This window comes from Homo sapiens, chromosome 13, assembly GCF_000001405.40.
Source record: "Homo sapiens chromosome 13, GRCh38.p14 Primary Assembly".
NCBI lineage: Eukaryota > Metazoa > Chordata > Mammalia > Primates > Hominidae > Homo > Homo sapiens.
The window spans coordinates 45,243,600-45,267,650 of record NC_000013.11 but is presented as its reverse complement, the minus strand read 5'-3'; the positions used below and the strand labels follow the sequence as shown (position 1 = coordinate 45,267,650).

Genomic DNA, 24,051 nt, shown 5'->3' with positions numbered 1-24,051 from the left:
AAATGGTATCAACAGATTTCAGGCTTAATGTCAAGAATAAATGAACATGAGGATAATTTCTTTTCTTCATAAATAATTATTAAGAGTACTAAAATGTAAAATAAAAGCTGATGTTACCAAAAATGGCTGCATTAAGACATCTTTTCTGAGTGTTGTCATAAAATTAGTCATTAGCATAGGTAAATGTGAACTAAATCATGTATGACACACTTTCAGTAATGTCGTGTTAATGAAGGAGGGCATATTCAAAGGATCAGTATGAACATATACATACCACAGGTTGCTTTGTGATGTCCACCAAGTCCTTAAGATTATAGTATTGATGTTTCTCAAAGGCTGAAAATAGCATGTCTAAAACATGTTGTTTATCAGCTCGAGCTCGCTTTCCGTCTTCTTTCTTTTTCCTTTCATATTCGATCTATATGCAAACAGCAAAGGAAATAAAAGCATCAATTCAACATGCTCACTCTAAAACACAGGCATTCTCTTTTTTTTTTTTTTGAGACAGAGTTTTGCTCTTGTTGCCCAGGCTGGAGTGCAGTGGCATGATCTCAGCTCACTGCAACCCCCACCTCCTGGGTTCAAGTGATTCTCCTGCCTCAGCCTCCCGAGTAGCTGGGATTACAGGTGCCCGCCACTACGCCTGGCTAATTTTTTGTATTTTTGGTAGAGACGGGGTTTCACCATGTTGGCCAGGCTGGCCTGGAACTCCTGACCTCAGGTGATCCACCTGCCTCAGCCTCCCAAAGTGTCGGGATAACAGGTGTGAGCCACCGTGCTTGCCCAGGCATTCTCTTTTGAGTCATCCATTAACGACTAGATCGTAAGTTTCGAGGCAGCAGGCCTCTGAACAGTAGTTCAGAACCTGGGACCTGTTACTCCTGGGGTCCCCGTATCTTTAAGGCTCTAAGTTAGTAATAATTCCAGTCACTTTCATTATCCCCTAAAGCTTTATGTAATGCATAATGTGTACATTTCCCCCCAAAAAGGCCTTTTGCCAAAACTGTATCAATTCAGTGCGGTTAACTGGTTATCTTGTGTTGATCGAAAACTCTAACGTGTAGTGCTTTTGTTTTTGATTAACAGTAAAACAGTTTATCTAACAGATGCAGTTTCATAGGTAACATCTTTCAAATGTGGGGTTCTTGGAGGCAGGCAGATTATAAAACGGGTTCTTTACGGAGTGAAAAGTTTGGGAAGCATTGGTAAAAAGGAAAGGACATGGACCTTTTCTCATCCTGACCCTGTGCAACCTCCTTGAACCTGTTTCTCTTCCCATACAATAAAAGTTAGTTTAACAAGAGAAAGGGGTAATTATATACTTATCATCTCAGACACAAGCAAACCATTTTTCTGAAATTCCCATTTAAAACTTCATGTGACCTCTAAATTCACCTGTATAATACATCTTTATTTTTTAACATGAAGTAAAAAATACAGTATCTACTATCCAAATAAAAATGACACTTCAGGACCATGTGTTATGTTTATTCTGCAGTTTTGTGTACCTCCATGCATGCCAGCTTAAAAAGCAGTGGCACTAACACAATGAAGAAGTTCCCTCCTACTGTTACCATCCTGGGACTGTTCAATTGTAAAACATCACCCTTTTTACTTAAAATATGCAAGTTCTGTTCTATTACTTAGTTAATTGAGATATTTGTTTGTTTCTTTTTAGGAACACTTCACTTGTATAAACCATCAGAAACTTGTTGAAGGGGCCAACCTGGTGAAGAAAGCATCAGTAGGTTGGGTGGAAACTGCCAGAGAAGAATGTCCTGTGGGTCAGCTGGAATAATTATAATCTGGGGACTAGCTTCGAAAACAATGGGATACATTTAAAAACTTACAAATAAATTATTCCACAAATAGCCTCAGGTAGTTAGCTTACTCTATTTTAACAATAAAGATTTGTTATAAAAGGATAAAATTTAGTTTCTATTGATTTATTGATATTAAAACTAAAAATATGTCTTATGAGAGACTGTCAAATTAGTGGTAAAAGGTAACTGAAAACCTTGAGTATCTACTTTTCAATTAAATAAAGTTGGGAGTGAGACAAAGGGAAAGGACTCAATCATCTTCATTTTTTGATATGTACGAACTGGGAGTAAAACTCAAACTCCACTGAGCTTCAGCAGATTAAGCATGACTATATGCTAGGCATTGCGCTAAGATATGGGGAGAGTAAGACAGCTTTTTCTTTCTAAAACGGCTTTAAATGGATTAAAATGATTAGAGAGGGGAGGGCCTTGAGCATTTTAAATGCAGTAATGGACAAAGAGCTACCTAGGACAAGATCACCATGCTTAAAAAAAATGCAAATGAATGACACAGATTGTATTGTTAGGGAAGACTGAAATCCAGCCAGTCTCAATTTTTTTTTTTTTTTGAAATGGTGTCTCACTCTATTGCCCAGGCTGGAGTGCAGTGGTGCAATCTCGGCTCACCACAACCTCCACCTCCTGGGTTCAAGTGATTTTCCTGCCTCAGCCTCCCGAGTAGCTGGGATTACAGGTGCGCACCACCATGCCCAGCTAATTTTTGTATTTTTAGTAGAGACAGGGTTTCACTATGTTGGCCAGGCTGGTCTCGAACTCCTAACCTCGTGATCCGCCCGCCTCGGCCTCCCAAAGTGCTAGGATTACAGGCGTGAGCCACCACGCCTGGCCTCAGTCTCAAGTTAAATTCAGGAAATAGCAGAGAAGTGATGGTATACTCAGTTTCCACCTTCAGTAGGCTGTTTCTTGTGTAAAATGATTGGAGAAGCTAGGAAGTTTAACATGAAAAATGTTTTCAAATAAGCCCACTGGTAAAGTAAGATAACCTACTTTACAGAGGGCGCACATTCTAGTTGGCTGTGGAGAGAAAACTTAAGTGTTGTTATCAAGTTGTCCCAACCCAGAGTCACATGTCAGATGCAAGAGGACCTGAATCAAAGGTAAAAATTAATAAATTAGAAAAGAACTTTAAAATCAACACTAGGGATAAGAGTAAGGGTCGGATTAAGTTGTAATTAGTAACATTAATGAGTAGTAAGAAAATTACCGAATTCTACCCAGATTTTTCAAAAATCATGGGGCCAGGCGCAGTGGCTCACGCCTGTAATCCCAGCAACTTTGGGAGGACAAAGTGGGCGGATCATTTGAGGTCAGGAGTTCAAGACCAGCACGGCCAAGTCTCTGCTAAAAATACAAAAAAATTAGCTGGGCGTGGTGGCACACGCCTGTATCTCCAGCTACTAGGGAGGCTGAGGCAGCAGAATCGCTTGAAGCCAGGAGACAGAGGTTGCAGTGAGCCAAGATCGTGCCACTACACTCCACTCTCAGCAACAGAGTGACTCTGTCTCAAAAAAATAAAAAAATAAAAAAATAAAAATAAAAAATAAAAAATAAAAAAAAAATCTTGGTTTACATGCTTCAATCTCAAATTGAAGTTAATGTTGGTGCTTTCTCTTTAAAATTAGAAAAACAGACTAAAAATATATGCTTATCTTTCTGTGTTAACATGTATATCACTGGTTTAGTTCCTGGGGGCACTGCAGCCTACCTCTACATTTGCCTAGTGAACAAAAACTGTTTTTTTTCTTCCTGTCCGAAATATTTGTTAATTGTTTACTTATCAAGACGAACTCTTTCTCAGCCTAGATATTCGTGTTTCATAGTTCACGAACACAAGTCAGTGACAAACTTCCATGTGATTCAATCCAAGCAAATTCTTTATATTCCCAAACCACTTTGCACTCTGAAAGATACCAGCCTTCCTCATCTCCTCAATATCTTTCATGGAATCCTAATTTCTGAAGAAATCTGCATATGCCTTATTTCTTGCTTCAGCACAGCAAACTTACAGAGAGCTGCAACCCCCAGGGATGCAATGAATGCTCCAACAACATAAAACCTCAGATGCATGGCGTTTGGTTTCATCAAAGCACTGGAAACCATGGTAGTTATTGTCCTTGACAGGCATATGTCAATCTTAAGTAATGAGATTCAGAAAATAAAATTAACTATATAGTTTATTCGAGCCCAAAGCTTGAGGATAGCCACCTGGAAGCATAGTTTCAAGGTATCCTGACTACATAATCTGTAGTAAACAAAAACTCTTAAAAATGTTGTCTGTAAGCCAGGTGCGGTGGCTCACGCCTGTAATCCCAGCACTTTGGGAGGCCGAGGTGGGCAGATCACGAGGTCAGGAGATCAAGACCATCCTGGCTAACATGGTGAAACCCTGTCTCTACTAAAAATACAAAAAATTAGCCGGGCATGGTGGCGGGCGCCTGAAGTCTCAGCTACTCGGGAGGCTGAGGCAGGAGAATGGTGTGAACCTTGGGAGGCGGAGCTTGCAGTGAGCCGAGATCGCGCCACTGCACTCTAGCCTGGGTGACAGAGTGAGACTCCGTCTCAAAAAAAAAAAAAATTTAGTCTGAAAACCCAGACATACAAAATAACGATAGCAAGAACAAAACAGAAACATTCCTCACTAGAGAAATTTAAGTACTTTAAATTTAATCCTACATTTATTTAAATTTATTTAAAAATAAAAACAGAACATCTCTTTAATGTCCTCAGGGACTGTTTAACTACGGGATAATTTATAGAAGATTGTTTTAAAACAAAATTTATGGCCACACATGGTGGCTCACACCTGTAATCCTAGTGCTCTGGGAGGCCAAGGGGGGAGGATCACTTGAGACCAAGAGTTTGAGACCAGTCTGGGCAATAAAGTGAGACCCATCTCTACAAAATTAGCCATGAACGAGCCTGTAGTCCCAGCCACTCAGGAGGCTAAGGCAGGAGGATTACTTGAGCCCAAGAAGTTGAGGCTGCAGTGAGCTATGATCATGCCACTCATGCACTCCAGCCTAGGCAACAGAGTGAGATTCTGTCTCTAAGACAATAAATAAATAAATAAATAACAAAATAAAGATTAGGCCGGGCGCAGTGGCTCACACCTGTTATCTCAGCACTTTGGGAGGCTGGGGTGGGCGGATCGCTTGAGCTTAGGAGTTCGAGACCAGCCTGGGGAACATGGCAAAACCCAGCCTCTACAAAAATTAGCTGGGTGTGGTGGCACTCACCTGTAGTCCAAGCTCCTTGGGAGGCTGAGGTGGGAGGATCACTTGAGCCCAGGAGGCAGGGGCTGCAGTGAGCTGAGAATGCACCAATGCACTCCAACCTGGGCAACGGAGTGAGACACCGTCTCAAAAATAAATTAAAGATTTAACTAATACTGTACTACAAAAATATTATTGTTTTAATTAGTTAACTAATTTTAGAGATGGGATCTCACTCTGTCGCCCAGACTAGAGTGCAGTGGTGTGATCATAGCTCATCGCAGTCTCAACCTCCTGGGATCAAATTATTCTCCTGCCTCAGCCTCCCAAGTAGCTGGAACTACAGGGGCATGACACCATACCCAGTCAATTTTTAAAATTTTTTTGAAGAGATAGGGTCTGGCTATACTGCCGAGGTTGGTCTCAAACTCCTGGCTTCAAGTGATCTTCTAACCTTGACATCCTAAAGTGCTGGAATTACAGGCATGAGCCACTGCACCCAGCCAGTTAAATTTTTTTTTTTGATAATGTCTAAGACAGGCTCATAATCCAAATTCTGCTCTGTGGTATCAGATAAGTAGTTCCAGTGTATGTGTAATTATCGAAGGGGATTTAAATAATTTCCATGGCCATTAAGTTATTAATAACTTATAGTTAGGACAAAACCAAGGTCACTGAGGTAATTTTTTAAAACTAAACAGTGCAGAAATGGTAATCTTAATACTATATTCACAACTTGACACTACAAATAAAATTAACTGTACAAATAAACTACCAATGATATGAACTATTCTATTTAGGAGAAGATTACAGTTTTGAGATAATGTTATTTCTTCTCTTTTTAGCTCCTTGCCTTTTGGGCATTTTGTTTCTCAGTGGAGCTCAGGCACTGTAAGGAAATGATATTAAAGCAGTCAGATATCTAACTTGTTGGCAGCCACTACAACTCTTAGTAAGACTGGAGTAGAAACAGCTTTTATATTGTGTGAATTTTAATTACCAATCTTCTATCCAATGATCACAGATCACTGCGCAACTGACTATATAGAAATAAATGTCAATTCAGAAAGTACTTTAGTCTTCAGTTACAAATTTTTACCAAAAAATCCATCATATACAATTAATTTTCACAACAGAACACAAATTATTCTTTTTTTTTTTTTTTTTTTGAGATGGAGTCTTGCTCTGTCCCCCAGGCTGGAGTACAGTGATGCTATCTCAGCTCACTGCAACCTCAGCCTCCCGGGTTCAAGTGATTCTCCTGCCTCAGCCTCCCGAGTAGCTGGGACTACAGGCGCGTGCCACCACACCCAGCTAATTTTTTGTATTTTCAGTAAAGAAAGGGTTTCACCGTGTTAGCCAGGATGGTCTTGATCTCCTGATCTCATGATCCGCCCACTGCGGCTTCCCAAAGTGCTGGGATTACTGGCTTGAGCCACTGCACCCGGCCCCCAAACCTTTTCTTTTTTGAGATGGGGTCTCACTCTGTTGCTTAGGCTGGAGTGCAGTGGCGCAATCTCACCTCACTGCAGCCTCCGTCTCCCGTGTTCAAGTGATTCTCCTGCCTCAGCCTCTTGAATAGCTGAGATTACAGGCGTGTGCAACCATGCCTGGCTAATTTTTGTATTTTTATTAGAGACAGGGTTTCACCACGTTGGCCAGGCTGGTCTCGAACTCCAGGAACTACAGGGGCATGCCACCATACCCAGCCAATTTTTAAAATTTTTTTGAAGAGGTAGGTCTGGCTATACTGCCCAGGCTGGTCTCAAACTCAAGGCTGGTCTCAAACTCAAGTGATCCACCCGCCTCAGCCTCCGAAAGTGCTGGGATTACAGGTGTGAACCACCACGCCCAGCCTATTCTTGACTAAAATGCAACCAAATGTTGACAATCCTTTGTGGATTTGGTATATATATGTTCAACCATCATTACTGAAGCTGTAATCACTGACTAAAATTATAAATGCCACCCACTACCAATTAAAATTTATAATACAGACATCTATAAACTTCTAGATTATTGTTTGCAGAAATACTGTGTTTTGTCAAGGCAGTCTTTGTAAAGCCTTTTAACTTTTGAAGTGAGCATGACAGCTTTGAATATCATGGTTCTGCATGTTAAATCCTTATGAGATATTATTCCCCCTCCCCTCAACTAATGCTTCTATTTCTGCCTAGTGTGTCATTATCTCTTGGGAGGAAATTATTTCTTTAGAATTGGTCAGTCCTTTGTGTGCAAATTCAAATGGACAAAGCATGTAGTATACTTATACTATGTATTATAACAGGCAAATATTACTGAAAAGCCCTCATGATATAGTCCTACAAACATCCTTTTTATTTAGGAAAATTCAAATTTATGCATAGAACTTTAAAAGATCAACCACTCAAACCCCAAATCTTAGTTCTGCAGACTAACACAGTCGGCTGCCACACTGAAGGGAACAGAGCATATATGCATAAAAATGAATTTCCTTTCTAGTTCCTGGGGGTTTACCTCAACAACCAGTTTACTAAGTAAGCTTTTCTTTTTTTTCTCTTACCCATCTGAGCACAGTTAAGGTTTTCGAGTTCTTTCTGGCCAAGAGCTTTTACCAGAAATAAGAAAAAAAAAAATGAGAGAGAGAAAACTTATTTTTTCAAACTGTGGGGCAGAAATTCTAACAAAGAAAAGAAATATTAATTCTTTTTAAAAGTTCTAGGTTTGGCCAGGCGCAGTGGCTCACGCCTATAATCCCAACACTTTGGGAGGCCGAGATGGGTGGATCACATTGGCCAGGTGTGGTGGCGGGCGCCTGTAGTCCCAGCTACTTGGGAGGCTGAGGCAGGAGAATGGCATGAATCCGGGAGGCGGAGCTTGCAGTGAGCCGAGATTGTGCCACTGCACTCCAGCCTGGGCAACAGGGCGAGACTCTGTCTCACAAAAAAAAAAAAAAAAAAAAAAAAAAGTTCTAGGTTTGCGAGAAAGAGGTTTCCTTCTAAGTACCATTACTGAACACCCCACCCTCAACAGGAGATGGCAGAACTATAAAAAGTTCTCATCTCTTTGGTTCAGTGGCTGCATACTAGAATTACCCAAGAAGCTTAAAAACTTAAGATGGCTGGCCTCCCCATTAGATTAACCAAATCAGTTTCTGAGGGTATTTTTCTGTTTTGTTTTGTTTTTTTTGAGATGGAGTTTCGCTCTTGTTGCCCAGACTGGAGTGCAGTGGCATGACCTTGGCTCACTGCAACCTCCGCCTCCCGGGTTCAAGCAATTCTCCTGCCTCAGCCTCCCAAGTAGCTGGGATTACAGGCATGTGCCACAATACCCAGCTAATTTTGTACTTTTAGTAGAGACGGGGTTTTACCAGGTTGGTCAGGCTGGTCTCGAACTTCTGACCTCAGGTAATCCACCTGCCTTGGCCTCCCAAAGTGCTGGGATTACAGGTGTGAGCCACCGCACCCGGCCTATTTTTCTTCTTTAAAAGCTTCCCAGGTGATTCTAGTATACAGCAACACCGAAAACAAATGTCTAGACAACAGAGGACATGATTCCTTATGAGAAGAAAAGGAATTCCTTATGAGAAAGTTTATAAGAGGCCATGAAATACATAAAAGAATGCTATGAAATTTACATAGGCTAGATACGATGTTCACAAAGTCAACCAGAACACACAGAGTCGCCCTTACTTGGATTCAAAGTTGGAGGGAGTTGCAAAGAACCTTACGCATCAGCTGACTCTATAACTTTGATTATACACCTTTGTGAGCAAAAAATTAAAAGCATGAGCTATGCATATATCTTTATAAACTGGACAAACGTACTACTGTATTTATAAATAGATATAAGCATACACAAGATAAAAAATTTTAAAGGGATGAAAGAGTATAATTTTAAGAGTAAGTTTTGTCAAAACTACAAAATACGTTTTCGTTTTGCTCTCAAAATACAGTGATTTGCATTCATGTTCTGTATGCTTAGTTTTTAAATACATTGAACACCGTGATAGCTTTGTATCAGCAATAGCTAAGCTAATATAACAAGGTACAACACTCACAAAGGTCAAGGGCCACTTTGCCAGTTATTTTGCAACAAGTCTTCAACTCTAGCCTTGGTGGTAAGGGTGGGGTGGCAAGAGGTCTGCAGGCTACATTTCCAAGATTCCCTTGCTAGCGGGTTTCCAGCTGGGGTTCTGCCAATAGGAGAATGAAAGTGGGAGGGAGGGAGATTTTTCTTCTTTTTTTTTTTTTGTATTGCAGGAGCACCTCTGCAGCAGCTTCCTGATCTCTTCTTCCTTTTGCAACTCCAGCCCATCCATTTGGTATTCCTAAATCATTTGTAACTAACTCCCTACATTACATTCTTTTCTGCTTGGAATATCTAGAGTTGTTTTTGATTCCACCATAGACACTAACTGAGTCATCATTAAAGACAGGGCATGACAAGCCATATTTAAAATGATACTGATAATTTCCTTTTTGGAAGGGCCAAGTTCTTTTCAGATCTGATTACATCATCACTGTTTGTCACCTCAAAGATTGACTGATAAACCATTTTTAGAAGCAAGAGAAGTTCAGTTTTTCACTTTCTTGTTCACATATGCTTGGTTTATTAGTATTATCTCTAATTGACAGTTTCTCTGCAGAAATCATTTGTTGAGACTGAGTTTAGTTAAAAATAGATACTATAATCTGTAAATCTCTGAATTGAGCACCAATGCTAAAAAGCTGAAAGCAAATGAAAACATGAAGGCACAACGCTCAACCCCTCTGTCCTGTCCCATTTCCGCTCTTCTGCTGAAAAACGACCGACTAGCACAGGAGCTGCAAAAAGATGCCAGGGTCAATCTACATAGTATTTCTAAAGCTCAGTTTCTTTCCTTTACTAGGTGCCAAACAAGATACATGTAAGTTTTATAATAATATAAATATAATAATTTTCCCCCTCACCCAGTGGGCCCTCTTGTAAACCATACTTTGACATCTCCATTATTTCCCAATGTCTGTTTTCACTACTTCAAACAATGGGGGGAAATTTGATGTTCAAATGTTTGTAAGTGCAGGATTAAACAAATTCCTAAAGCTTACTAATCTTGAGTATATTAAAGTGAAGTGTCAATTTAAGAGGAGGATATAATCAGAAACTACAAGTTTTTTAAACACAGAATCCTTTTTATGTGACCATCTCACCTAGTTAATGTTACAAAAAATTTACTGTGGAAAATGCTGACCTACATGAACTGATTCAAGTTTCAGACACTCAATGAAGATTTAAGGTACAGGAAATGCCACTTAGGGAAAAAAAACCTGACATGTCATATCCTAGTAAGAAGATGGTTTTCAGGGGTGCGATTTCAATGGAGTATTCTAAGAGATAAAAATAATCATATAATTCTTTTTGGCCCAGTAGATGGTTTCTGAATGGCAAGTATGACAGACATTATACCCAGATAGTTTGTGAACTAAAAAGATAAATCTGAATTTAATTCTTAGAATAGCTCCAAGAACAAAATTGGATATTTTCTTTACATATATACAGGTAAATTCATCTATTTGCCATAGGTGGGTGAAAAAACTGTGGGTAAATGCAAGGTAGTTTCTTTCTGACCAAATGTAGGAACATTGTTTTTCAAATACATATGCAATTTCCCAGTCCCTCTTTCACTTTTTTGTACAAATTTTTTTTGAATTTTTATTCTGAAAATTGCATTCAAAGAAGCTCAACTGTTAGAATGAAACACTGAGCTTCATGTTTATATAACTTTATCTGGCAAGACTTTCAAAACATTTCAACATTATATCGAGTTAAAATTTTTTATTAAAAGTCTTTATTATGCTTCCTCTAAATCATTCTTGCTGACCTGTGTTCGTTTATGTTTCTCAGTCTTTTAAAAGTCAATGTCCTCTTCTAATAAATAACAAAAATGTTATACTCTTTCTATAGTTGGTATTACACTACAATACTGAATATGTTTTTTAAAGCTATGCAGGTGCCTATCCTGGTTTACTCCCAAAAGAAATAATGATTAAACATTCAAATGCAATGTGGTAGATTATAGTCAATCTTTGTTTGGATGTAAAAATCTTAATCAAAGATTCATTACTATAATGACTCATTTTCACTATGACAACCTTAACAAAGGTTGATATCTTGAACTAAAATGTCACTTAATGTTAATTATCTTTATAGAGGGTGCTATAGCTTTATATACTAAGGAGTTCAGAATATAACATGTTTGTACTTACTTTATTCACCAGGGGTATGTATCTCAGACACGAAGCAGATATTTAAAAAGTACTTGTTTAAAGAAGGTAAATCTTAGACAATCAGTAAGGTACTATTATGGCTTTCTTCCCTGGCTTTCTTTCCTTTCCAATCTTCCCCTTCCCAACATAACTTTATTGCTTACCAACAATTCAGGCAATACGTGCTCACTGTGACAATTTCAACAATTGGAGAAGATTTTATAAAAAAGAAAATTAGGATAAAATCACGTAGATCCTACCATCCAAAAATAATGACTTAAAATATTTATTTAATGAATCCCCAATTTGGGACACTTGTTTCCAATCTTTTCCTATCTTAAATAATAGAGAGAAGCATTATTGTATATATATCATTGAGCACTGGTCTCACTATAATAAATTCCTAGACACAAAACTGCTAGGTCAAAGGATATATCCTTTTATAGTGCATTTGACATAAATTACCAAACTTCCCTCTAGAAAGGTAACAACTCTTTACAGCCTATGAAAGTGCAGTCTTTCTTGTACCCACTGTAATAAAAATATACACAAGGGTAGAAATCACAGAGAAGCCTGGCCCATAAAAGGATAAAAAAGGTGAGTCAGGAGCTACAGAAGCAGCACACCAATGAGGAAGAAAGGCAAAAACAACTAAGATCTATACTGTTTTACAAAGTAGAATAGAATCTCTATTTACACGTAGCTCTCAGAAAACTGTGTGTATTCCCATCCAACAGTAGAAAAGACTACAATGGAAGAGAACAAAGATGTGGACTTTAATCTATTTATCTAAGTCAGAAAACAACAGAAAAATACCTCTTCTGGATCATCTGAAACCTTACCTGTCCTTTAGTTTATTTTCCTCCTAAAGCATAACCAGAGGCTATAAAATGAAAGCTTGGCTGAATGCAGTTGAACTTTTACCTGGTTTGTTTAACTCACATAGTGTAGCAATTTCAAAATGTGAATGTATTTATATGGGTCATGTGCACTCCAGTTCACACAGTCTCTAACACTGACTTTCTTAAATTTCATTGTTCCACTCATTTAAGATATCTACTTAGCCCTAGTGGCATTTGCTACTTTCATATAAAATAACCATTCAAATATCATAAAGTAGTAGTTTGGTAGATGCTATCCTGTGTCACTTAATAAATGTTGATACTAAAGGCTAGTCTTTTTTTTTTTTTTTTTTTTTTTTGAGACAAAGTCTCACTCTTGTCCCCCAGGCTGGAGTGCAATGGTGTGATCTCGGCTCACTGCAACTTCTGCCTCCTGGGTTCAGGCGATTCTCCTGCCTCACCTCCCGAGTGGCTGGAATTACAGGTGCCTGCCACCACTCCTGGCTAATTTTTGTATTTTTAGTAGAGATGGGGTTTCACCATGTTGGCCAGGCTGGTCTTGAACTCCTGACCTCAGGTGATCCACCTGCCTTGGCCTCCCAAAGTGCTGGGATTACAGGCGTGAGCCACCGCACTCTGCCAAGGCTAGTCTTAAAGAAAATTTTCTTCCTAAACTCAGTATCAAAGGTAATCTTAAACAACAAAGTGGGATACAAAATTCCAACTGTTAATTGCTATTTGACTTAACTTAGGTATTTTATTTTCAGGAAACCATCACACTTATTACATTACAGATATTTCAAAACCCAAAACCCTTAGCCCTTTTAGCAACTGCTAATCACCAGCGGCAACATACACAGTGGTTAACAGTATGGCTCCTAAGCTAGACTGCCTAAGTTCAACACCTGGACTGATAAATTACTGGCTGCACCACCTCAGGTAAGCCAGTCTCTCTGCCTGTTACCTTATCTGTTGTAGTTTCTTCATAGGGTTGGTATGAAGATTAAGTGTCATTACTTACGAAGCACTCAGACCAATACCTGGCACAAAGTATACATAATATGTATGCAATAAATGTGTATATTGTATAATACATATAGTACATATAAGATACACAACAATAAAAAAGTCTTGAAATATAAATATACAATACTTTCCCCTTATTGGCAGGAGATATGTTGCAAGACACCTCCCTGCCCCACTTGGTGCCTGAAATTGTGGATAGTACCAAACTCTATATATTATGGTTTTTCCTATACATACATATCTCTGATAAAGTTCAATTTATAAATTAGGCACAGTAAGAGATTAACAAAAATAACCCATAATAAAATAGAATAACCCTAACAATATACTGTAATAACAGTCTGTGAATGTGGTCTCTCTCTCTCTCACTCTCTCAAAATATCTTGGTGTTCTGTACTCACTCTTCTTCTTTCTTTTTTTTTTTTTTTTTGAGACGGAGTCTCGCTCTGTCACTCTGTCACTCAGGCTGCAGTGCAGTGGCGTGATCTCGGCTCACTGCAAGCTCCGCCTCCCATTCTCCTGCCTCAGCCTCCCCAGCAGCTGGGACTACAGGCACACACCGCCATGCCCGACTAATTTTTGTATTTTTAGTAGAGACGGGGTTCACTGTGTTAGCCAGGATGGTCTCGATCTCCTGACCTTGTGAACCGCCTGCCTCGGCCTCCCAAAGTGCTGGGATTACAGGCGTGAGCCACCGCGCCCAGCCTCTTCTTTCTTTTTATCATGTGTCAATAGATCTGTTAACCAAGAGGGCTACTAAGTGACTAATGGGTGGGTAGCATATACAATGTGGATATACTGGACAAAGGAATGACTCACATCATGGATGGGATGGAGCAAGATGGTGCTAGGTTTCATCATACTACTCAGAAGGTTGCACAACTTACAACTTATGAATTGTTTACATCTGGAATTTTCCATTCAATATTTTTGACTGTAGTTGACTGTGGGTCACTGAAACTGCATAAAGTTTTAAAATTGTGGACAAGGGAGTACTACTGTACAGATGGTCCTCACTTTGCATGGTAGTATGAGACCATTAAAATGCCTGTGAAAGCTGAAATCAGGCAAAGTGATCTTAATAATCAATGAGAAAAATTACTGCTGTTCCATGACCTTTAAAATTTTTTAACACATTAAAAACTTTCTTATGGTTCATCACAAAGGTATAGAATAATTTTTAAAAATAGTAAAACTAATATTTAGTTAGTACATTGTAATTTAAAACATCAGCAACATTGCAACATTGAGAATTGAAGTGTTTTACTTCTTTGTAAAAATTTATCAAGGGTACTTTAAACAGTGGTTGCCTTCTTTTTGCCATGATATAACTTGCAATGTAGAGTGAACATCTTTTCTGTACTTTTAGCAAATTGTCATATTCCTTACTAAGTCCAGATCAGGTACTGTAATTCAAGCACCTGATGGCAAGGTGTGTAAATTCTCAGGTTCTTTGGAAACCTAAGACTCTATGATACAGAAAAGAATGAAGATATAAAAGAATGAAAAGAGACAAGCAGAAGACTTACATTGTATTGATGATTAGCAACAGGTTTGTAATTGGTTGTTACAACTTTGTCCAGCTGTTGTGATAGCCTCACTGGTTTGGAAGACTCTTCTATTTGCAATCTGAAAAAAAATATAAGGCATTATTAACACTCTTGTTTAGCAGAGTGAAATATGAAGAGTTATTATTTCTATAATTCTTATTCAATGAAAACTAATATATAAAAAGGTAACCTCAGAGGATACACTAGCTTTAATACTTTAAAAATGCACTGAATATACGTGACTATAATGCAGAAACCAGTACACAAGCTAAATATACAAACTAACTCATTATAATGCCACAATGTACTTTTCACCCGCTTATTATATAGGCAAATCTTAACCACTAAAACCAAGAAGCTAATCAGCCTTAAATTTCTGGGGGAAAAAATCTTCATGTAAAAATAAATCATCTTAAATTACATGGTCTAAAATCAATCAAGTTATTAATTCAAAATGTCTACTCAGCTGATAAAAGATAAAGGTAAATAAAAAGAGAATACATCAACACTCAAGGTTTACTGAACAGCACAGAGAGAGAACATTTCTATCATCACAGAAACCTCTATTAGACAGCACTGCTCTAGAACTACTGCAGGACACCATCTAAACTGATCCTGTCTCTACAAAAAATTAAGAAAAAAAAAAATTAGCCAGGCACAGTGCCTGTAGTCCTAGTTACTCAGGAGGCTGAGGTGGTAGGATCACTTGAGCCTGGGAGGTCGAGGCCACAGTGAGCTGTGACTGTGCCACTGCACTCCAGCCTGGGCAACAGAGAGAGACCATGTCTCAGAAAATAAAATATAACTCAAAACACTGCTTTTGAAAATATATGCCACCATGTATAGTATATTATAAAACAATAGCTGACTAGTACATGTATATTTAAGTAGCTATCTTAGGATATTTTGTTTTATATTAAGTATAGCAAGGCTTATAATCATTTACTTATTTAGAAAATTAATTCACTTGGTATATCAGCACAGTAAATTTAAAAAACTGTTTTAAGGAAGGAAAAGTACAGCTTTCTAAGCCAACTATTTTTAATGATGCAAAAGTTATCACTGTACCTTTTAAACTCATCAGCAAGATATCAAAATATAAGATTGCAGTTTTTTAAGAAAATTGCCTAACATATCTAGTTAGATTACAATTGAAGAGTAAGTGTAAAACATAAGCATTTTTGGACAAAAGCTTATGTTTATTATTTATAGATCCTCACTGAGAAACTACTCAAGAATTTATTTCAGTAAGAAGGAAAATGAATCCAATAGGAAGCAGTGAGATGCAATGGTTACAGCAAAAAAATTGAAAACGATGTTAGAAAATTGCCTTTAATTAAAAAAAAAAGGCAGTTTTTTTAAATGGTGAAACTAACATGAAAGATGGGAAGGAAGAGATCAGACTGGATGCATTTTAAGTTTGTTTTCTAAATGTTCTGCAATAAGTATTTACTACTTTTATAACCTGAAGAAGTACACTTTCTTAAAAAGAGAAGAAATACTATAATTCCTTGGATGGTTCATTTGAAAACCACAAAAATGCTGGCTATTAAAAAATAATACAAGTTTAACATTATGTATTATTTTATTTGAATGGGACTTTAAATTCTTTGGTTCAATAAAATAGAAATTAAAAACAATTTCCATTTTAAATTCCTTCAAAAGCAGAATTAAGTATAAAAGGTGTCTGTATAACATTCCTATTATTTAATTCCTTGGATGAAGATAATTCTCTATTTACTTCTGCTTATTTTCAGGTATATACTATCAAATTGCTGAGAAGATATAAGATATTTACCAATTGCCTTTTCAATTTGAAATCTAAAAATGCCATAGGTTTTGTTTTTACCAAGATCCCCAAATTCAGTATACTCATTTCTGTATGGAAATGTAAATATTTAAATTATTCCAGTTACATATAAATCCATGCTTATCCTTTAAATACACAAGATGATTTACTTTATAAAGTACAAAAAGTTCTCTGGAAGTGTCTTTAGAAACTTACTGGATATGTAACCATAAATAATACTTACAATTATACTTTGCTTTTCATGTGCCACACAGAGTTTCTATGAACAAGGATTAAATTTTCTTGCTAAGACTGAGAAATCAACTAGCTAGAGTCTAGAAGGGAGATGTGCAACCCAAGGATGGATTTAGATTAATGATTCTTCGATGGCCTCTTACTATTCTCGGGGTGCAGCACAAGTTCCTTCATAGGACTTTAAGACTCTTTGGGATCTAGTCCCTGCGTATCTCTCCAGTTCTCCTTACCATTCTCCTGTATCTGCCTCTGGCTGCAGCTGTGCCACAGCCAGACTCTGGAAGGAGCCTCTTGCTGTCAATTATCCAGCAAGTGTTTACTGGGTACCCACTTCTGCCAGGCACTGGGTTAGAGGTTGGAGACATAGCAGTAAAGACTTGCTCTAGTGGAAGACAAGCATTTAATACTATAATTAACTGCAGTACTGAAGATGAACAAGGGTGATGGAGGGATGGTAGGACAACTGACTGCATACTGATAAAAAGAAAATATTAATCCCAAGGTGTGCATTTTGAGAGTAAACTGGAGCAGAGCTGCTCATGCTTATAAGAAATAAGGCAGGCTGGGTGTAGTGGCTCACACCTGTAATTTGGGAGGTGGAGGCAGGCAGATTACTTGAGGTCAGGAGTTCAAGACCAGCCTGGGCAACATGGTGAAACCCTGTCTCTATTAACAATACAAAAATGAACTGGGCATGGTAGTGCATACCTGCAATCCCAGCTAGTCAGGAGGCTGAGGCTCGAGAATCGCTTGAACCCAGAAGGTGGAGGATGCAGTGAGCCAACATCGTGTCACTGCACTCCAGCCTGGGTGACAGAGAGAGACTGTCTCAAAAAAAAAAAAAAAAAAAAAAAGAGATAAGGCAAAAAGATTAGGTGGAAATGATTCCTCCAAGGAAAGTTATGTCAAAGCTTCTAAGAGATAAACCTTTAGAGAGAGAAAAAAGATTGAAGACAGATATAGGAATGTTTACAAAGTGTCGGGACAGCTAAATGTGTTAACTTGGTGGGGGATGGGAGTGGGTGGGAAACACAAGTAAGTGTCAGCCTGTTTCTGAACACACCTGTGTCCTAATCTTGGCCCCCCATCCTCCTCTAATGCAATCAGCTCTCAGGGGTTTGGCCTCTCTAAATGGTAATCTGTTATGTTGCCGCTAAATTATCTTCCCTGTTTCAGTCATCTCCACGATTTGATCTTATGAGACATCCAAGGAAGGAGGCATGCACTAGCTCCTTCCTTCCATATTAAATGATTGTTCCCATTACTTCACAATTTGAAAATTCCTCAGGGTTTCAGTTTGTTTAGTGAAGTGCTTCTTTATAAACGGTAGCTTATTCTGGTCACACTCTTACACTTGAATTTATTTGTAGCCACTGCATCCAGACTCAGGTTTATGCAGCATACTTTCCTTTCAATTTTAATTCTACAATTCTAAAAGCCAATTTCATCACTCATACAGTGTCATGCAGTTTTTATCCTCAAAGCATTTAACCTTTTACATAAAGGAAAACACTGATTTTTTTTTTAAAAATAAACTCATTTTAAAAATTTAACTGTTCTATCATACATTTAAAAGGCAACCACAAGGGTTTTAATTAAAAGAGGACAACTTATGATTCAAAACTAAAAAGGTTAATGTATGAACTGAAAATATAACAAAGAACTAAATCTTAAAATACTTTAACTCGCTTTGAATCGTTTAAAATAATTTAGCAGGGTCCTTAACACTAAATAATTCATTTAACACTATCTCATGAAGTGACAAGAACAACTGGCAACTCCATTTCATCACTGAACAATGTACTAAATTAAACATTACTGACCTTGATATGCTTTCAAAGTCAAGGTAAGGTTTATCTAGGTTTGTACAAAATAATATAATTTGGAAATATGTGGTTCGTAAAGCACCACATATTTCCAAACAAACTACACAGAGGTATTAGGCTGACTTGGGAGCAAGCTAAAAGGCTACCCTGACCATTTTAAAAAATGAGTCTCCACTTTTTCAGAAAATTTAAAAATACAGTGTTGTTTTCAGGAAACAAATAGAAAAATAATGGCTGATCACTTAGATACAGCCAGGCTACATTTTACTTTGTTTTGTAAACCATTAAAAAAATACTTGGTGCTGGCTGGGAGTGGTGGCTCACGCCTGTAATCCCAGCACTTTGGGAGGCAGAGACAGGTGGATCACCTGAGGTCAGGAGTTCAAGACCAGCTTGCCCAACATGGCGAAACCCAGTCTCTACTAAAAATACAAAAAAATCAGCCGGGCATGGTGGCAGGCGCCTGTAATCCCAGCTACTCAGGAGGCTGAGGCAGGAAAATTGCTTGAACCCAGGAGGCAGAGGTTGCAGTGAGCTGAGATCGCGCCATTGCACTCCAGTCTGGGCAACAAGAGCGAAACTCCGTCTCAAAAACAAAAAACAAAAACCAAAAAAACAAAACACACAAAAACAAAAACAAAAAAACAAAAAACAAAACAAAACAAAAAAACACAAAAAAAACTTGGTGCAAATTCAGAATATAAATATATATTCTTCAAATGCCAGGACTAACCATGCCTTCTGGTGTTCCCCATAGACATAGAGAAAGTGCTTGGAAACATACAGTACATCTATAAAATAATTGCTATTCTAGTCATAAATCACGCATATCTATTTGTCACAATGTAAGACTATTAAGTATCAAGTAACAAATTTAGTCAAGCTTGAACTAGTATTCATTCTAATGAAATAAAACTCCATTTATTTAAAAAAATCAGGCCAGGCACGGTGGCTCACGCCTGTAATCTCAGCACTTTGGGAGGCTGAGGTGGGCAGATCATGAGGTCAGGAGTTCGAGACCAGCCTGGCCAACATGGTGAAACCCCGTTTCTATTAAAAATACAAAAATTAGCCAGGTGTGGTGATGCACGCCTGTAATCACACCTACTCAGGAGGCTGAGGCAGGAGAATTGCTTGAACCCAGAAGGTAGAGGTTGTGGTGAGCTGAGATGTCTCCACTGCACTCATGCCTGGGCAACAGAGCGAGATTCCATCTCAAAAACAAATGAACAGACAAACAACAACAACAACAAAAACTGCAATTTTAATTTTAGGTAACTTCAGAATGGTATTCTTGGAAATTCAAGTTGGTGAAGCTTGAAAGTAGTCCCTAAATTATTTGCCTGAGTTATAACATCAAAAACACTAAAAATAAAATACAGGATACAGGTGGCCGGGCACAGTGGCTCATGCCTGTAACCCTAGCACTTTGGGAAGCTGAGGCAGGTGGATCATGAGGTCAGATCGAGACCATCCTGGCCAACTCGGTGAAACCCTGTCTCTATTGAAAATACAAAAAATTAGCTGGGTGTGGTGGCACACACCTGTACTCCCAGCTACTTGGGAGGCTGAGGCAGGAGAATTGCTTGAAGCCAGGAGGCGGAGGTTGCAGTGAGCTGAGATCCGGCCACTGCACTCCAGCCTGGGTGACAGAGACTCCATCTCAAAAACAAAACAAACAAACAAAAAAACCAGGTATCTGTCTAACAGAATAGCTTATATTCAGGAAGCTTAATTTAATTTGAGACAGTCTCTCTCTGTCTCCCAGGCTGGAGTGCAGTGGCGTGATACCAGCTCACTGCAACCTCTGCTTCCCAGGTTAAAGCGATTCTTGGGATTACAGGCATGCACCACCACACCTGGCTGATTTTTATTTTATTTTTTGTATTTTTAGTAGAGACAGGGTTTTGCAATGTTGGTCAGGCTGGTCTCGAACTCCTGTCCTCAAGTGATCTGCCCGCCTTAGCCTCCCAAAGAGCTGGGATTACAGGCGTGAGCCGCAGTGCCCAGCCAAGAAGCTTAACTTTTTTTTTTTTTTTTTGAGACAGAGTCTTGATCTGTCGCCCAGGCTGGAGTGCAGTGGCGCTTATCTCGGCTCACTGCAAGCTCCGCCTCCCGGGTTCACACCATTCTCCTGCCTCATCTTCCCAAGTAGCTGGGACTACAGGCGCCCGCCACCACGCCAGGCTAATTTTTTTGTATTTTTAGTAGAGACGGGGTTTCACCGTGTTAGCCAGGATGGTCTAGAGCTCCTGACCTCGTGATCCGCCCGCATTGGCCTCCCAAAGTGCTGGGATTACAGGCGTGAGCCACCGTGCCCAGCCAATGAAGCTTAATTTTAAAGTGAATTTACACAGAGTAAAATCTAGGAAGGCAAGTAGGAAATATATGGACTGTCGTAAGTATTTTAAATCCTAAGATTAATGAAAAATCAGAGAATTTTTGAAGCAAGGAATTAAATTTGTGTTTTAAAAATATTCCTCTGGCTACTATTTGCAGAATAGAATGGGGCAAAAATGGACATCACTGACTAGGAAAGCTACTGTACCAATCCAGAGGAAAGATAATATTCACTTGGAACAGGGTGATGGTAAAGGAGTGGGACTCAAGTTAAACAAATTTAGGAAATATTTTGAAAACAGATTCAATAGAAAGTGGTGCCTAAGTAAGATAAAGGAGAAATAAAGGCATCAAGAATAACTGGGCTCAAACAATATGATACCACCTTACTCCTCCAAGAATGGCTATAATTTAAAAAATAAAAAAATAGGCCGGGCGCGGTGGCTCACGCCTGTAATCCCAGCACTTTGGAAGGCCAAGGAGGGCGGATCACGAGGTCAGGAGATCGAGACCATCCTGGACAACACGATGAAACCCCGTCTCTACTAAAAAAAATACAAAAAATTAGCCGGGCATGGTGGCGGGCGCCTGCAGTCCCAGCTACTCGGGAGGCTGAGGCAGGAGAATGGCGTGAACCCGGCAGGCGGAGCTTGCAGTGAGCTGAGATCCGGCCACTGCATTCCAGCCTGGGCGACAGAGCGAGCTCCGTCTCAAAATAAATAAAATAAATAAATAAATAAATAAATAATAGATGTTGGCGTGGATGTGGTGAAAAGGGAATACTTTTTTTTTTTTTTTTTGAGATGGAGTCTCGCTAGTCGCCCAGGCTGGAGTGCAATGGCGCAGTCTGGGCTCACTGCAAGCTCCACCTTCCAGGTTCACGCCATTCTCCTGCCTCAGCCTCCCGAGTAGCTGGGACTGCAGGCACCTGCCACCACGCCCGGCTAATTTTTTGTATTTTTAGTAGATACAAAAAAGAGTGGATACAAAAAAGAGTGGATAAACAAAATGTGGTGTGTGTGTGTGTGTATGTATATGTATATATATATATATATATATATATATATATATATTCACACCATGGAATACTACTCAGCCATAAAAAGGAAGAAAATAATGGCACTTGCAGCAACCTGGGTGGAGTTGGAGACCGTTATTCTAAGTGAAGTATCTCAAGAATGGGAAACCAAACATTGTATGTTCTCACTTGTAAGTGGGAGCTAAACTATGCAAACGCATGAGAATGATACAATGACTTTTGGGGATGTGGTGGTGGGAGAGGTAAGGAAAGGGAGGATGAGGCGTAAAGACTATACATTGGGTACAGTGTACACTATTTGGGTGATGGGTGCATCAAAATCTCACAAATCACCACTGAAGAAATTATACATGTAACCAAACACCACCTGTTCCTCAAAAACCTACTAAAAATTAAAAAAAAAAAATTTTAAAGAATAACTGGGCTCAGATTTCTGGCTTCAGCAACTATAACCTACGCAGGGTAGACAGACTACATCTCTGTAAAACTGTTTCCTATGGGATTCACCACATTTTACTTGAAAATTTGTAAATTATGTGTTCCATTTTCAGATGTAGAAAAACTATTCCAGTTGAAAATAAGAGAAGAAAAATTACCACCTTCTATTTTGAATTCTTAATGTTTTACATGAAGATATCAGTTTCTCTTTCTGTCTCACACTTATATTAAAATAGATACAAACATCTGATGTAGAAAGCTTCAAGAGCAACTCATTTCTCCGGACAAGAAATAAGGACCAGCTGGGCACGGTGGCTCATGCCTGTAATCCCAGCATTTTGGGAGGCCGAATCACTTGAGGTTAGGAGCTCGAGACCAGTCTGGCCAACATGATGAAACTCCGTTTCTACTAAAAATACAAAAAATTAGCCAGGCATGGTGGCTCACATCTGTAATCCCAGCTACTCAGGATGCTGAGGCAGGAGAATCGCTTGAACCCAGGAAGCGGAGGTTGCAGTGAGCCAAGATTGTGCCACTGCACGCCAGCCTGGGCAACAGAGTGAGACTCTGTCTCAAAAAAAGAGAAAGAAATAATGACTAACAATGACTATCATTGTATAACCTTGGTCATATAAAATTAAATAGCTTTGTTACTATTATAAGGAAACAGTCAAGATCAACTTCTTGAATTACTAGTCTTTCTATTATTATTATCTAAAGAGTAAGTTTAAGCTCATATTTTTTCCCATCAAAAAAACAAAGCTCAAGGGCTACCTAGCATAGAAATACAACAAGAATAAAATGACAACTGTAACAAAAATAAAACATTTAAAGAACACTTACTATGTGCTGGAAACTGTGGTAAGAACTTTTCCTATATCATCTCAATATCATTTTTTCCTCATAGTAAGCAAAAACAAAACAAAATTGGATTTTTCTCTTTTCAATCTAGGGTTCATGCTATTAATCCTAACTCTATATGGTCCCATAAAAGGTCATATAACAGAATAAAATCTCTAATAAAAACTTCACGAACTTAGTTCAAAGTAATTTCTCCTTGACAGTCATCAGCCTCCCTACAACTAATACAATTCTATACACACACAGAAAAAGCACATTCTCCTTTATAACACTGAAAAAAAAGACTCCTAGTAACTCAGTGTCACTAAGTCATTGCGACATAACCATGGTTCATAATCACCCTTGTCAAAATTACAGTTGGGCCACTGTATATGCATATTGGGTACCTGCAGATTCAACCAACTGTGGATAGAAAATATTTGTTTAAAAAAACAAAAAACTGGCAGGGCGCAGTGGCTCACGCCTGTAATCCCAGCACTTTGGGAGGCCAAGGTGGGTGGATCACTTGAGGTCAGGAGTTTGAGACCAGCCTGGCCAACATGGTGAAACTGTGTGTCTACTAAAAATACAAAAATTAGCTGGGTGTGGTGGCAGCTGCCTGTAATCCCACCTACTCAGGAGGCTGAGGCAGAAGAATCGTTTGAACCCAGGAGGTGGAGGCTGCAGTGAGCCAAGATTGTGCCACTGCACTCCAGCCTGGGTGACAAAGCGAGACTCCGTCTCAAAAAACAAACAAAAAACCCAAAAACAACAATAAAACAAAATGGATTTAAAAAAAAACAGTAAAACCACTACTTAAACA

The 24,051-nt window shown here is 38.8% G+C and overlaps 1 protein-coding gene across 3 annotated transcripts in view; it reads right to left on the bottom strand.

The window, feature by feature from the left end:
- Window positions 1-24,051, bottom strand: part of GTF2F2 (general transcription factor IIF subunit 2) — a 164,384-nt gene that overhangs the window by 17,243 nt on the left and 123,090 nt on the right. For all 3 annotated transcript variants that reach the window (XM_011535052.4, NM_004128.3, XM_017020551.2), the window contains 2 exons: window positions 14,681-14,780; window positions 275-418 (listed from right to left, as the gene is read on the bottom strand). In XM_011535052.4, coding sequence (XP_011533354.1) covers window positions 275-418; window positions 14,681-14,780 — 244 coding nt within the window. The remainder of the gene's footprint in view (window positions 1-274; window positions 419-14,680; window positions 14,781-24,051) is intronic.